General features: G+C 53.6%; 1 protein-coding gene across 5 annotated transcripts in view, besides 3 other annotated features; it reads left to right on the top strand.

Moving 5' to 3' along the window:
- Window positions 1–15,631, top strand: part of SDK2 (sidekick cell adhesion molecule 2) — a 310,062-nt gene that overhangs the window by 102,374 nt on the left and 192,057 nt on the right. The window lies entirely within an intron of this gene.
- Window positions 748–1,312: an enhancer, noted in NCBI's record as "H3K4me1 hESC enhancer chr17:71536899-71537463 (GRCh37/hg19 assembly coordinates)". NCBI's record gives its function as "activates a minimal SCP1, AML or CMV promoter by ChIP-STARR-seq in naive H9 embryonic stem cells {active_cell/tissue: H9 hESC(naive)}" and the evidence as "EXISTENCE:reporter gene assay evidence [ECO:0000049][PMID:30033119]".
- Window positions 4,434–5,206: an enhancer, noted in NCBI's record as "H3K27ac-H3K4me1 hESC enhancer chr17:71533005-71533777 (GRCh37/hg19 assembly coordinates)". NCBI's record gives its function as "activates a minimal SCP1, AML or CMV promoter by ChIP-STARR-seq in primed H9 embryonic stem cells {active_cell/tissue: H9 hESC(primed)}" and the evidence as "EXISTENCE:reporter gene assay evidence [ECO:0000049][PMID:30033119]".
- Window positions 6,774–7,486: an enhancer, noted in NCBI's record as "H3K4me1 hESC enhancer chr17:71530725-71531437 (GRCh37/hg19 assembly coordinates)". NCBI's record gives its function as "activates a minimal SCP1, AML or CMV promoter by ChIP-STARR-seq in naive H9 embryonic stem cells {active_cell/tissue: H9 hESC(naive)}" and the evidence as "EXISTENCE:reporter gene assay evidence [ECO:0000049][PMID:30033119]".

Raw genomic sequence — 15,631 nt, 5'->3', positions numbered from 1 at the left:
CTCACCATTGTATGACACTTGGCAGTTGGCAACACGCACTTCACAGATGCTGTTTTATTTAATCCTTGTCGCGACACTCCTGTAAAAGAGATGCCATTGACACTGTTTATCAGCAGAAGAGGCAGGCTCAGAGAGGTTTGGGGCTCTCCTCAGGGCACACAGGCAAGAACAGGCCTGGACTTGCATCCCAGCCTAGGTGGTTTCCACCAAACCATGAGCCCGATTGACGAGGATCTTCCACTCGGCTCTAAATACATTTTGAATTTTCCGTAGCCGGATTCTGTTTGTGCCAAGCTGCTTTTAATTCAACGTCTGCACATTCCTGTCACTCAGCGTGACTCCGCCCCGCGCCCCCTTCCTTCTGCCGCTGTGCATTCTGGGCAAACTCATTTTCATATCAAACCAAACAAAAGCAGGCAAAATCAGGAAGGTAAACACGCCACGAGAAATGAAGAGCCAGCAGGGAGAGACGGAGGGAGGGTGGGGCGAGCTCTGGCCTTGAAGTCGCCATGAAGTAGACCACGGGCACTCACCCCTCTACCTATCTCGGGGTCCTTGTCTGTGAAATGGGGGTGGTGCGGTATTGCCCTGCTAAGATAGAGGTGAGGATGTTGAGAGGGGATGGGATGGAGCACCCAGCAAGGCGCCCATGTGCTAAGTGTGCTGCCCGAGCTAGCCTTGGTCCTTCTGATGTCATCTGCAGCTTGGGGATTAGCCATGCCCCACATCCGCTCCACCAGCAGGGAGAGCCTGGCTCTGGCCCTGGTCCACCTTTTAGAAGGGTGGAGAGCTCCTGGCAGGCAGCTCTTTCCACACACTGCAGCCCATCCCCTGCAGCCCCCCGGGCACCTCCCTTCACTGCTGCCCCAGCCCTCTGGGGCCCAGCTGCCTCTCCCCAGCCAGAGCTGTCCTCACAGCTGCTCTGAGGGTGCTCATACCACTTTGGCCAGGAGTAGCGGGAGGGGTGCCCCATGTTAGGGGCTGGGCAGACACTGGCAGACACCTACTCTCAGGGGGCCTAGCAGCTTACCATTGGCAGCTTGATGGCCGAGACCACATTTGCCAGGAAAGTGCTGTAGGGGAGGCTGGGGTGTACGGTGTAGCCACAACTCAGCACCTCTATCTCTGGCTAGGGCAGAGGTTCTGCAGGCTTAGCCCCAGCTCCTGCCCCAGGGAAGACTCTGGACCACCCACTTATCTCCTGTCAAGTGCTCACCTGCCTTCCGGGTAGGGCCTGACTTAGGGGTAGATTAACCACAGCCCACGAGGGGAGAGGCAGAAGACAGGTCACTGGCATGGGTGCCCAAATGTGAGACTCTCCTACCAATTGATGGTTGTCCTCCCAGTTACCCCTCCTAGCTAGCCTCAGTTTCCTCATTTATCAAATGGGAAGAGGCCCAAGGACCTTTTGGTGAAAGCAAGTGACATAGCACCAGGGTCACGCACGAAGTGTTTTGCTTAAGTGGGAGCAATAAATAAATAAACATTATCCTCAGTTATAAAATGGGTATATTATATATATATTATGTTATGGGTTTAATAGCAAATATCATACCTAGTCCCATATTCTGTTAGGAGAATCACAGCGGTGATGAGAGACCCTGCTGAAGCTAAAGTAGTCTCATTGCGACAGCAAGAAGCATTGACGTTAGACACAAAGAAATATGTTTAGTATATTGGGGACTGTGTGTGTGTGTAAAGTTCCAGTGTTATTGGAGAATAAAGTCAGGGATGGAATTCACTCCTGGGATTTGCAGTAACAAAGTCACATGCTGAGTGGCTTAGAACCACCGAAATAGACTCTATTGCCATGCTGAGGATGGGACATATGACCTCAGCAGGGCCCTGCTCCCTCGGAGGCTCTGAGCAGAATCGTTCCCCACCTCTTCCAGCTTCCAGTGGGGACAGCCCATCCTGGGTACCGTGGTTCACAGCTGCATGACCCCGTCTCTGGTGGGGGCTGCTCCTCCTGGGTACCGTGGCTCACAGCTGCATGACCCCGTCTCTGTTGGGGGCTGCCCATCCTGGGTACCGTGGCTCACAGCTGCATGACCCCGTCTCTGGTGGGGGCTGCCCATCCTGGGTACCGTGGCTCACAGCTGCATGACCCCGTCTCTGGTGGGGGCTGCCCATCCTGGGTACCGTGGCCCACAGCTGCATGACCCCGTCTCTGGTGGGGGCCGCCCATCCTGGGTACCCCAGCTCACAGCCGCATGACTCCATCTCCGCCTCTGTCATCACATGGCATTCCCCCCGTGTGTCTCTGCCCACGTTCTCTCTTCTTCTCAGGACATCAGTTAAATTGTATTAGGGGCCACCTTTGTGACCTCATCTTAACTTGATTACCTCTGCAAAGACTATATTTTCAAAGAAGGTCACATTCACAGGTCCCAGGACTGAGGGCTTCACTGTATCTTCTGGTGGGACTCAATTTTACCCATAACAAAGCTCTTGCTGCCACCCAAGCAAAATGCTTCATATGTGACTCCGGTGCTGTGTCACTTGCTTTCACCAAAGGGTCCTTGGACCTGAACCCTAGCCGTGCTTTTGCCCCCCACCACCCCCCAGCTCCCTCTCTCCTCTCCCCATCAGCGTCCCCATCTGGCCCTCCCTCTCCTGCTGGCCTCTGCCCACTCCTGGCTGTGCTGAGCCGAGCAGGGCTGATGTACAGCTGGGTGTTTAATCTCTCCCTTCCCGCTGACCCTGCCCCGGCGCTCCCAGGCTGTCTCCCTCACAGACTTCACTTCCCTTTGATGACAGACGAATGATTTCTGGCTGTCCCCGTTAATGGTTGTTTTTTCACTTTAAGGGGCCTGCTCAGCCTGTCCAGTGAGTGATGGCCAAACACATTTCAAGCGACAAGGAAACATCTCCAAAGCTTCTCCTTAGTTCCTTGGGAGATTTGGGGTGTGGGACATAGCCTGGTTCCTCTTCTCTTTGGGGATGGGGACTTCTAAGGAACTGAGGCAGGGCAGCATGATAAGGCCACTCCACCTGTCCTTTCTCCAGCCTTCTCCTGAGGTCACCTGCCCCCTTCCTCTTAGAGGGAGGCTCACTATGTTCTACAGAATGCTCCCAGGGTCTACAAAGGAGATCAGAAGGACAGCTGGTGGTTCAGAAACTAAGTGCCCTGAAGGTTAGAGCAGCAATGGGGTGACCTCCTAGGCCCAAGGCAAGGGAGTCCAGAGGCCTGGCTTCTAGGCCCACTCTGCTTCTAACTGGTCGGTGCCCCATCTAGAAAGTGCTGACACTGAGGCCAAGGTGGGACTCCTAGCCTCTTCAGGCTGAGACGAAATGGCTGTGGCATACACTGGGTGCCTGCTTATGTGATTTTCTGTCCTCTTCCTCTCCTCTACCCTGATGTGGTAGAGGTGGGTGCTTCCAGAGGAATCATGATGTTTCTCCAGAGCTTCCCTCCCCGAATCCCCAGTGTGGGCTAGGCGTGGGCGAGAAGTTGTTTGACTCTGTTCATTCGGAGGCCAGGAGGTGGTTTGCTCATCCATTCATCTTTTCAAATGTCACCTGTGCACATTTAATTTACTTATTTTTGTATTTATTGAAAGAGCTATGCTTGCACATTTTAAAGCCGGAGTCCTGGCTGGGTTAGGGCTCCGAGGCCCCAGCATCACATGGTGGGTTTCTGGCAGAAGACCCTAAATGATCCATTTAAAAGGAGACAGAGAGATGGGTGGAGGCCAGGGAAAGCTGGTAAGGGGAGTCCAAACAAAGAAGAAATCAGAGGCCTGGTGGAGCCGCTGGAGTACAGACTCAGGAGCCAGGAGACTGGTCAGCTGATTTTTATCTGGGTGGCTTTGGAAAGCTGCTTGACCTATCTGTGCCTCAGTTTCCCTGTCTATAAAATCAGCACAACCGTGGCACCTACTGGAGGTCAGTCTGTCTGGCTTCTGAGTCTGTGCTATTACTACAAATATTCACTGAGCCTTTCCAGCCAGGCCAAGTGCAGTGAACACCGCCGTTCCCGGGAGTCAGAAGTCTGTCTCCCAGGTACCAGCTGTAAGTTACCTATCCACACTCTACCATCTGCAGAATGGAAATAAAACCACCCATCCTTGAAGGGATCAGTGGGTACTGTGTTCCAGGTCAGGTCAGTGCACAGGTGACCCCTCCACCCTCTTCATCCTCTTTTCTTTCAGCCTTTGGGGGGTTTGTGAATGGAGAAACTGTTTTGTTATTTTTCCCGCGGTGTCATTTTTTATTTTCACTCATAAGAATGGGTTCAGGCTGCTTCCTGGCAAGACAATAGAAGAGCAAAGTGAATTTGAAGTGGGGAATCTGAGTCTATGCAGCCGGGAGATGCACCATCAGATTGGCACATTGAGAAGGGCCTTCCTTCCCCCTGCTTACAGGCAATTCTCCCTCCCTGAGTTGGTTTCTGCCTCCTCCTACATCCCAGGCTGGGCACGTCCCCACCCACACAGGCTTCGGTCTGCTTTGGCAACCTCTTCATCCCCCCAAACCTCCCCCTCTCCCCAGCCCCCACCCTCCAGGCTGCAGAACCCACTTCTCCATCCCTTCCACCCTCTGCCTGCCTCTCCATCAGCAGCTCTGGAGCCCGATGAAAGGAGCCCTTATGAGCTGGGTCAATAGATCCAACTTTGGGAGATAAAAGCATGGGGGCTGGGGAACAAAGTGGGAATCGAAGGCAGAGGAGGCTGGAGTCGGGGCAGAAGGGGGAGGTGAGCCACCGAGTTCTGAAGGCCCCAAAGCGAAATCGGCAGATTGGAAATCTGCTTTGATGGCCTCTCCGTTTATCTCCCTCGTTAACAGACGCGGCCATTTGGCAGGGGCAAGGCGAGCAGGGCAGGAGGTTGGCTGAGTTTCAACTTTGATTTCTCAGGGCTCACAATCCATCGTCTCTTTGCATAGAAAGGGATTAATATCTGCGGCTGAGTATTAACTGAGCGCCCAGTCACACATGATGCGCGCCCGCACACGCACGCACGCACATGCGTCGTGATCCTGAGCCGCCACCTCCAACCAGCACCATGCTACGATCCATCCTCACAGTCCCCAAAGCCTCAGGGTGAGCTAATGCTCCTGCACCCCAGATCTCACTCCTGCCCCTCCACCCAGCGGTCCTCCAACCTGGTTAGAGGAAGGCCTCCCTGACCCATTATGTAAGTAAAGTGCAGGGACAGAGATGTTGATCCCATTAGGGGGATTAGTTACTCAGGAGGCCGAGATTAGACTATCAGCAGGAAGGCGGAGTAGGGAAGGAGGCGGGGCTACAGTCTCCTTCACCCTCTGGAACCACTTTTATAGCCCCCCAACTTCAGAGAGGCCCCCAGTGGACCCTTGTCACCTGCCCCCAGCATGGCCAGGGGATGTGAGGCAGAAACTAGTTGTGCATTGCTTGCACATGGAACCTTGGAGAAGGAAAGCAACGAGTGATTTTGCGACCCCCGCACTGGCGTGGGGGCAGCGTGTTCTGCTGCCTCTAGGACAATAGCCAGCAGCCCCAGCTGTCTCTGTGTGGCCCCCCTGGTCAGCTCTCCCCTTGCCTGAAAAGGCTTCGGCACACCTAGCCCTGGTACAAAGAGAGGTGGGAGGTGCCCAGGTGGCCCAGCCTGGGGGTTTGGAGGGTGTAGATGGCAGAGAGGTGCAGGGGTCAGCGGAAGCCTCGGAAGGAGGCTGGAGAGGGGTTGGGGTGGAATGCCAACAAGGAAGTAAGTCGTAGGCTTTTCTGGGGCTGGAAAAGAGCCTCTGAACTCCCAACACCAAACCTTCCACAACAGCACAGCCTGCAGCTGTCTGGATCCCAGTGACCTGCTTGCTGATCCAGGTCCAGGGGTTCTTAAAGGATGGCCTCTAGGGCAGCAGCATCACCTGAGAACTTGCTAGAAATGCAAATCTCAGGCCCACCCAGACCTGCTATATTAAAGGCTGTGAGTGGGGCCCTGCACCTCTGTGGTCTAACAAGCCCTCTGGGTGATGCTGATATAGCCCAGGTGTGGTCTCGTCCATGAACTGCAGGGCGGGGAAATTGGGATTTGCTTGCTAGTGTAGGCAAAGCACGTGGAACCAGCTAAGAGTTTCTAAGATGTGTGAAATCAGAAAAGGAAAAGTGTCAGAGTGGGCGTGGAGGAAACAGAGGAATTAGGAAGAAAGGATGTGCTTGGTGGGTGGGCGTGGTCCTTATGGAGGGCATGCATCACCCCCAGCCGCCCCCTGCCTTCTCCCCACATGAACAATGATCACTCTGGTCCAAGCAGCTTTGTGTGGCAGGAACTCAACTGACCTCACCCAGGTTCCTAATCAGCCCCCTGCCAGCCACATCCATGGATAGAGAGATTTCTGCTCCACACCCTACTTTGGTGATGGCAGGCAATGGTGTGCCAGAGCCGGTGCTCACTGTGTGCCTCTCTTCCCAATCCGTAGCCCATGATGTCCCACTGATAGCTTCAAATCAGCCACAGCTAGAGCATTTACACCAGGGAAATTGGCAATGGTGGGCAATCAGGGCTTTTTTATATTTCCTGGGGAACAGGATGTTAAGTGTTCACCAGCACACATATAAGCACACACGTGTTGCATGTGAAGCAAGACAGGCGAAGAAGGAAACAGTCTATGTTCCCCAGGAGGCAGCCGGACTGCAGAATGCCCCACCCCGCCATTCACCCAGCAGATGCACACCAGTACCAGGCACCATGCTTAAGATGAAGGCATCATGTCATTTTTCCTGTCAGCGACACCAGGAGGGAGGGTGGAGATCCCCATTTGACAGATGAGCTCAGAGAAGTTATGCAGCGCCTTCTAAGCCACACAGCACAAAGTGGCAGAGTGGGGACTGCAACCTGAGTGGCTGTGACTCCCATAGTCCTGCTCTCAAGGAAGGTGGGATGGGAAATGTACGCAGCCTATTCACAAGAGAGGGCAGCCCCCTGCTGTCCTCACACATGGATGAGGCTTGGCGTCGAGGCCACCTTTGGTTTCCTGGTCAGGGCTATAGGGGATTGGCGGTGTCTTCTGGGATGTCACTATGAGATGGGCAGGGAAGAGGTTCCACTCTTTCTCCTCCAGATTCCAGGATGTCCTGGGGGCTCCTTCTCAAACTGTGCACCAAGGCCTGGGCTAGAGACCCCACCTGCCCCTTGGAGTTTCAGGCTGCCTCCCTCCTCCTGGGTTCCTTAGACCCAGTAGCGGGCTGATCGGCCGATCGCAGAGTATCCAGTATCCCCACAAGGAGGCCTAGAAGATGCAAAGGAGTCCAGGGAGCCCGGCCCGCTGCCCCCAGCCTACTGAGAAGAAGGGGAGTTTAGGTAATAGAAGCCGCTTTCCCCTAGATGAGAGGAAGAAAGGTCAGGGCCTAGGCCTACTCCACTCTCAGCTGTCAGGCAAATGGATGGTTTCAATCCCAGGCTGCAGAGACCTCTAGGATGCAGTCACACCTCCTCACCAGAGCCAGCCAGCACCAACACTCCAAGACCTCTGCCTCCCCTCCACCGGCCTTCCCTGCTGCCTTGCTGGTCTCGCGCTCTGCCTCTGTGCATCTTCCCATCCCTCCCTTTTGTGACTTTACTTCTCCTTCCTCCTCCCTCCTGTCTGTCTTTTCTCCCAGCCCCCACACTGTCCCTGAACCTTCCCCCACATAGCCCCCAGGCCTCTCAGAGGTCAGGCATCTGTCGGCAATCGTCTCTTTAGCACTGCCTCTGTCCCAGGAATGCTTTTTTCCTGGTCCCTGCCTTGCCCAGTGCCACCTTCCTCAGAATCATGGACAGCTGTGTCTCCCTGCCGCCAGCTATTTAATGCCACTCCCCTTCCCCCAGCAGCGGACCCGCTCTTGCATCTGCTTTTTGATCCTCATTCGTTCATTACACATGCATTCATTCCTTCAGCAAGGATGTACTGAGTCTCTCCTACCAGCCATTGCACTGCATTGTCCCGTGGTTGCTGAATAAAAGTGCAGACATCCCCAGGCCTTCTAGGGGCTTATTGGAAGGAGAGTGGGAAGGAGGAGGAGGAAGAGGAGGGGAGGAGGCGGGGAAGGAGGAGGAGGAGGAGGAGCAGGGAGCAGGCGGAGCAGAATGGCGTCTTGGCTGCAAGCGGAGGTGCAGATGTTGCCGCATCACTGTGCTTTTCCTGCTGCCGCATTGTGTTTGGAAAGTGATGAATTTCAGCACCAGCTAATTAGTCTCTAATTAGCAAGTGGAGTGTAAACAATCACAACAGATGGGGGAGAAAAGGCATTAGCAATAATGACCCTTCTTTGGGGGCAGAGTCTCAAAGAGACACTTCCTTGAAGGAGCTGGAGGGCAGGCTGAAGGGGCCTGCTGGTGACAGGGAACCTGGCGAAGACAGAGAGAGCTGCAAGAAAGGTGCTGGTGATGCCCAAGTGGGTTCCCCAATTTGTCTGGGGGGGTGGGGGGGTGGGGGGCTGGGGGAGGGCCCTTTCTGGGAGCCTTGCTGGCCCATCTGTAGCTGAGTGTGGTCCAAGTGGCAGCACAGAGCGTTTTGGAACCTGAGTCTTGGAGGTGGAGAGGACCTCCCTGTGCCAGGGAAGTGATGGTGGGCAGTAGTGATGATCTGGAGCTAGGCGTTTCCCCTAGAGGGCCTCAGGGCCTGTGTCCAGGGACGTGGGGTGTCCCAGACTGTTTGCACTCTTGCTGGGACACAAACCTGTGTGGCTGGCCACTGCCCAATGACCAGACAGACTGCCAGGGGATGTGCCCGCCAGCTCTGAGGATGTCATTCCTCCAGGCTCGGCAGCCTGCCTCTGAATCCAGGCCAAGCCACCGTGCCAGTCGGCCCCGGGGCCCCAGAGTGTGGCCTGGCTGCACGCCCACCTGTGTCCTTGGCTGCGGGACCAGGGATGCTGAGGAATGGGGTCAGGAGGCAGTGACTGGCACATCCCGCCAACACATACCAGCCGAAGGGGATACCGATGAGGGGACCTCTCTGGGCCTTGCTTGATGGAGCGCTGCACTGCCTGCGTCCCGTAGGGGCATGAGGGTTACACAGAGGGCTGGACAGAGAGACTCTGAGAAAGGCAGGAGCAAGATGGGCATCCAAGGAACGGCTGGAGAGGAAGAGAGAGAAAGATGGATCCTGAAAGGGGAGAGGGGCCCTTTGATGTTTATACTCATCTTTATTAAATGCCTTTATTAAGTGCCTGTCTGGGTAAACCGCTGTGCCGAGGGCCACAATAGAGTTAACTGCGCTGTGCCCTGCCCCTGGGAAGCCTGTGACTGAAGACAGACACACTAACCACCCTTTCAGGCCCAGGCCTCGTGGGGCCATGGCCACGGTGAGATGAGCCTTCCTTCCTGTCTGGGATGCAACTAAGCCCCGCTGCATGCCCCACCTCTGGTGGGACAAGAGAGAGCCTCCAGCCCCCCCGTTTCCTTGGAAATGTTGTACCCTTTGCAGCTGCCATTACAGGCCTAATTAACAGGCTTGTTTGTCTCATCAGTCTGGCAGTCCATGTTGATAAGAAGGGCGATTTCATTGTCTGGCAACGTCATCACAGCCCTGACAACTTGTTAGCTAAATTGGTTGCATCCGCCCTGGCTCCTGGAGGAAGTGGCTCTCTCTGAAGGACAGTACTCTCCTTAGCCTCCTCCCCTGCCACCTGACTCTGGGGCCTGGGAGGCAGCTGGCACCTTTTCTTCGCAGCCCAGGCCTCCTGTTTGCAGAAGAAGTGATCCAATTTCACTCTAGGCCTGGGGTGGAGTGTGGGGATGTTCACTCAGCAGACACACGATGCGGGCCTACTGCGTGGCAGGGTCAAGGCAAGGCCCTGGAGGTGGGAATGGACAGACAGGGAACTTGCTCCTGTCTAGCCCAGAGTTTCTCAGCCTCAGCACAGTTGACATTCCGTGCTGGATCGTTCTTGGTTGGGGGTGGGTGGGGGGGCTGTCCTGTCCATTGTAGGACATTTAGCCTGGCCTCTACCCACTAGACACTAATAACATCCCCCTCCCTCCAGTTGTGACGACCAAAAACATCTCCGGACATCGCCAGGGGTCCCCCGGGAGCTGGGGGCAGGAGTACAGAATGACCCCCCCTTGAGAACATCTGGTCTCTAGAGAGAGACGAATGCATAGAGATCATTGTAATGCACCACGATGGAGATTAGAAGGCGCCGATAGGTACAGGCACCTCAGCCACTCTAGGGCTAGACTGGCAGTGTCCAGGAGAAGCTGGTGGGTGGGCACAGGCCGCAGGCATCAGGCAGTGGATTGACAGGAGTGAAGGCCTGGGGGAAAGGGTGTGTGGTTTGTGAGGAAACCACAAGTTGTTAAGCCCTTCCATGGAGTCAGTATTTCCAGAATTTCCACCATGTCTCTGGTTCAGTGACAAAAAGAGCTATGTGTTCCCCATTGAGGAGTATTTTATCCTGTATGCAATGGAGTGCCATTGAAGGAATTTGAACAGGAAGCACATGGTTAGAAATACCTTTAATTAAGTAGATTGGGCTAATGACTGGCGGCTGGGAGGCGATAAGGGCCTGGCAGATGGAATCTAGATCAGAGATGGGGCAGGGGTGGCTTGCCAGTTTAAGGAATACTTAGCAGGTGAACCCAGCAGGACTAATTTGTTAGTTCAGAAAATATTTATTGAATGCCAACGGTGGACCAGACGCCGTGTTATGCACCAGAGCTGGAACAGGCAGCTGGGCTCACAGGGCCTGGGGGTGAGTGGGTGGTCAGAGGTGGGGGAAGGGCAGAGAAGAATCCAAGGATGGCACTGTTATTTCTGGATTGGATGACTGTACAAACAAGACCGCTAAGTATATTAGAAAATTACGGTACCTCTACAAGCTTGCAGAGACCAGAGCTCAGCTGTGGATATTTTAAACTTTTGAGCATGTTGGAGGTCATCAAAATACAGTTGACTTATTCAGGCAAGAAATCAGGGTTAAAGATCTGGGAGGCATTCACATCCAGGCCATAGCTAAAAGCAGAAAAGAAAAGCAGCTGTACTTTCCAAGGGATGAGGGTGGGAACAAGGAAGATCGGAGCAGAAAGCTGGAAACATCAACATTTCAGAACCACAGGAGGAAGGCAGGGAAGGAAAGGCGGGAAAAGGAGGAGGACTAGGAGAAGGTGGTGGAAACCAGGGTTACAGAGTCAGGAAGTGAGTGACTGGCATATTCAGACACCCCAGAGAGATCCCTCAAGCCTCCCTAGGGCTGGTGATTAGGGAGAGTCTTATGCCCCTTGTCAGAGAACACAGACGGGGTCCCCTTTTCCTATGGGTTTGTAGCTAGATGCTCTACTGGGGCCACAAGGGGCATGGTTGTTCTCACTAATAGATGCTCAAAATGATTCCCTTCTGAAAATTAACATGGTGCCGTGACATTTGTTAAGGCCATCATGGGGAGAAGGTTGGAGAATGCCAGGGGTAATTGAGACTGTAAGACCAGGTGAAAGGGATGCATGTGGTAGTGCCATTTGGACATCATTGCTCCCACCCAACCAGCAGTACAAGCTACACCCCTGCGAGGGGCTTACAGCCCCTACCATTGTATATAGGGTCCTTGTATATAGGGTGTTCTGTGGATCCTAGGGAGGTGATATGGTTTGGCTCTGTGTCTCCACTGAAATCTCATCTCAAATTGTAATCCCCAGGTGTCGAGGGAGGGACTTTGTGGGAGGTGATTGGATCATGGGGACGGTTTCCCCCATGCTGTTCTCATGATAGTGAGGGAGTTCTCATGAGAGCTGATGGATGATTTTATAAGTGTTTGGTAGTTTCCCCTGCACTCTCTCTCTCTCCTGCTACCATGTAAGACGTGCCTTGCTTCCCCTTCGCCTTCTGCCATGATTGTAAGTTTCCCTCGGCCTCCCCAGCCATGCAGAACTGTGAGTCAATTAAACCTCTTCACTTTATAAATTACCCAGTCTCAGGCAGTATCTTTATAGCAGTGTGAAAATGGACTAATGCAGGAGGGGACTGTCATAAACAGTTGCCAGAGAGGAGACAAGAAGCTAGAGCAAAGCATAAAGAAGCTAGCTGTCCCATTCTTCAGGTATGGGTTCGACTGGAATGCAAGATGTGGAAGGGTAGTTTTGCCCCCTTCCTTCCACCTTGCCCATGTCCATAGAGAATTTCACTTAACCCCACTGGGCAGCAGGAATGGGTCCTGCATTAAGGACATCTCTCCCACTACCGTGTTAACAACTCTATGTGTTTCCTGTGGCTGCCATAACAAATACCACAAACTGGGTGGCTCAAGTAACAAAAATATATCATCTCAGAGTTTTGGGGCACAGAAATCCAAAGTAAAGGTGTCAGCCCAGCGGGTTCCTTCTGGAGGTGCTGAGGGAGGACCTGTTCCATGCCTGTCTCTAGCTTTTGGTGTTTGCCGGCAACCCTTGGTGCTCTTTGACTTGTGGATATATTGCTGCAATCTCTGCCTTTGTCTTCCCATGGTCATCTTCCCCGTGTGTCTCTGTGGCTTCACCTGGTCTTCTTGTAAGGGCACTAGTCATTGGATTCAAGGCTCATTCTGATCCAGTATGGCCTCATCTTAACAGGAAGAATTACACCTGCAAGGTCTCTATTTCCAAATTAAGGTCCCATTCTGAGGTTCCAAGTGGAAATGAATTTTGGGGAACGCTACTCCACCCAGTGCCCTGACCTAATTTGCCTATGGTTTATTAACAAGGCAGCCTTGTTAATAATCCTAGCCTGCCTTGTTTAATAATCATTCCACTCTTCATATTGACGGTGCTAGCTCCATTTCAGATGAGAAAATTGAGGCACAGAGGGCTAAGGTGGCCTTTCCAAAGTCTCCCAGCCTCCAGTGGTGGAGGCAGACCCGAGTGAAATCTCTGTTTTCCAGCCTGGTCCTCCCTCAGCTGTCCCCAACCTCGGTACTGACTGTAGGACTCCCCGGTTCCCACTCATGCATGCTTTTCGCTCATTACAGACGAAACCACCTCCTCTCTTCCCAGAATCATCTTTCTTCTGGACAAGGAAATAGTTTCCCCATATGACAGAAAAGAAAGCTAAGCCCCTAAAGGAGGTATTTACAGAAGGCTCAGGTAGACAAAATGGTGTAAGAGGACTCAAGAAAGACAGAAGAGGGGGCAACAATGAGAAGACCTTGTGAGAGCCACCAGAAGGAGCTGCAGAAGCTGGGCAGAGCTCAGGGACCTCAAGGATGGCAGAGGTGCAGGGGCGAGGCCTGCTCCCCTGGCTCCTTGCACCTGTGTCGGTGCCATGGTCCAAAGGGTAATGGCTGTATTGATTGGTCCGTAAGTTATCTGTGCCTGGGGATGGCCAGGGGACGCTCCTCTCACCGGGAAATAAAAGCTTCGACCATCAGGGGATAAATGCAGTGGGAGCAGATGAGCCGTAGAGAGATTGATCTGCTGTACTGGATGGTGACCCTGCAGTGTCAAAGAGTCAACAGAGAGCAGGAGAGAGATGGAGGAGTGGAAGGCCTCAGCCCCTGGCTTAGGGGATCACAGTGGAGAACAGAGAGCAAGCAGCCCTCGCTGTTCACCTGGGGCTTAGTGAGGCAGTAGGTCGCCTTGGGATGAGAGCAGGAGCCAAGGACTTGACCGGCCCCAAGTGTGAATCCCTCCACTGCTCGCTCCCAAGTGACCTTGGGCAGATCCTCAGCCTCACTGCATCGCTGCTTCCCCATCTATTAGAGAAGTGGTAGTGACCTTGGAGGATTGTCATGTGGACTTGGTGCATCGCCTGGGACAACCTGGCACATTGCAAGCTCTTCATACGTGTTACTTCTTTCACTGCACCTGCACAGACTAGGAATGGGGCTGAGGAACCCAGGATGGGAAAAGAAGCCGGGGAGACTTTGGAGATGTACTCAGCAAAGACTGCCGGGCTCCCTACCTCTTCACTCTCCCCTGTCTCTCTGGGAATTTTGAAAGGTGTGCAGCTCCAGTTCCCCTATATTTGCTAACTGATGGCTCCACACCCCTCCTCTGGGGTCCAGGACTGGCTAGCACCTGAACGTTCCACCTGGATAACCAGCTGGCCACAACATGCCCAAAACTGGACCTGGCATCTTCTCTCCAAACCAGCTGCGGTGTTTCCATCTCGGTCACCTCGCCCTCACTGCTGACGCTTCCCTCTCCCTCAGACAACCCCCGCCCTCCAATCTAACACAGGTCTTCTTGGTTCCACCTCCAAAACAGCTCCACAATCCCCATTCTTCTCACCACCCCCATCGTCAGCACCAGAATCCTAGCGAAAAAGCCACCTCCTCTCCCCTCAGCATCATTTTTCTTCTGGACAGGGAACAGTTTCCACATAGGATGGAAAAGAAAACGAAGTCCACCAAAGGAGGTATTTCTCCCTGGGAGATCGTCTCTGCCCTGGAGTCTTACAGCAGCAGCCTCCAAACTAGACTCTCAGCCGGCACACCTACCTCCTTCCATCCACGCTCCTCTGCACTGCCAGGAGGGGTGCAGAAAACTGCCAGGCTGGCAATGTCACTTCAGGGCCTTCTTATCGGCATTAGGATAGAGCCCTGGAGCCTGGATGTGGCTCACTAATGAGGCCAGTGCAGGCCCTGTGCATTCTTCTCCTGTTCCCTCTTCCTTTCCTCTTCTTGCCATTAGGACTCCAACCATAGGAGTCCCCCTCCAGTTCTGAGCCAGATGTGAATGGGCCAGGCTGTCTTTCCCTCCAAACTCCCTACCCTGCTGTTCCCTCTGCCTGGCTTCTGTCTGCCATAAGGGTGACCTTTTTGAGAGGTTTCTCCTTTGCATTATGCATTCCCACTGTCATCTGCACACCATCCACACCCCTTCCCCCACTCTTGCAGTCCCTGCTTCACGTTGCATTTCTTGGTAGATGCTAAGCTCCATGAGCTCCAAGACTGCATCATCCTGCTCCCCTCCCCCTGTGCAGAGTGACAGTCCAATGCCATTGGATTGATCCGTGAACAAATGACTCACAGGGTCCCCTTCCTCCCTGGAGCTCCCCTGACTGCCCCGCCAATCCTCAGTGGCCCCACTCTTCCCCAAGTGCCCATCCGCCTAGCTCCTGTATCCGCAGTGAGCCCATGCCCGGTGATGCCTCACACCGTTAGTCATCCCTCACAGTGTGAATCCTATCTCTCAGGCCAGCTTGTGAAGGCCTCCAGGCAGGGCCATGTCTACACCTCTTTGTGTTGCCAGGGCCTATAACTGGTGTTCACTGATCAGGAAAGGTCAACAAGACAAGTCATGACTTTGAGATCCTCTGTGTTGAGGAATTGAGGGTCCTTTATTGCATGCTCATCAAAGATTATTCAGGACCATCCTCAGCTTCATCTTTCCTCACACTGCACGTAACTGTCCTCTAAGAAAGGCTGGAGATGGAGACATAAGTGGGTTTGTGGGGCCTTGGGCTGATCCTGCCACCCAAACAAGCCCTCAGGACACAAATACACACATATGCACACAAACACACACATATGCAAACACACACATATGCACACATACACATGCACACACACACCTATGTACACACACACACGCTCAAAATCTCCAGTGCCTCGCCACCACCCACAGATGACATCCAAGCACCTAGGCATAATTTATAAGCCTAGGACTCTGATCGTCACCATTCATTCATTCATTGATTCATTGAAAGCCCAGAAGCCAAGCTGAGAGATACGTCTGCATTTTCTCCTCCAAAGCAGATATTA

Source organism: Homo sapiens, chromosome 17, assembly GCF_000001405.40.
Source record: "Homo sapiens chromosome 17, GRCh38.p14 Primary Assembly".
NCBI classification, from domain to species: Eukaryota; Metazoa; Chordata; class Mammalia; order Primates; family Hominidae; genus Homo; species Homo sapiens.
The sequence above is the reverse complement of the archived record's forward strand: the minus strand, read 5'-3'. Positions and strand labels throughout refer to the sequence as shown.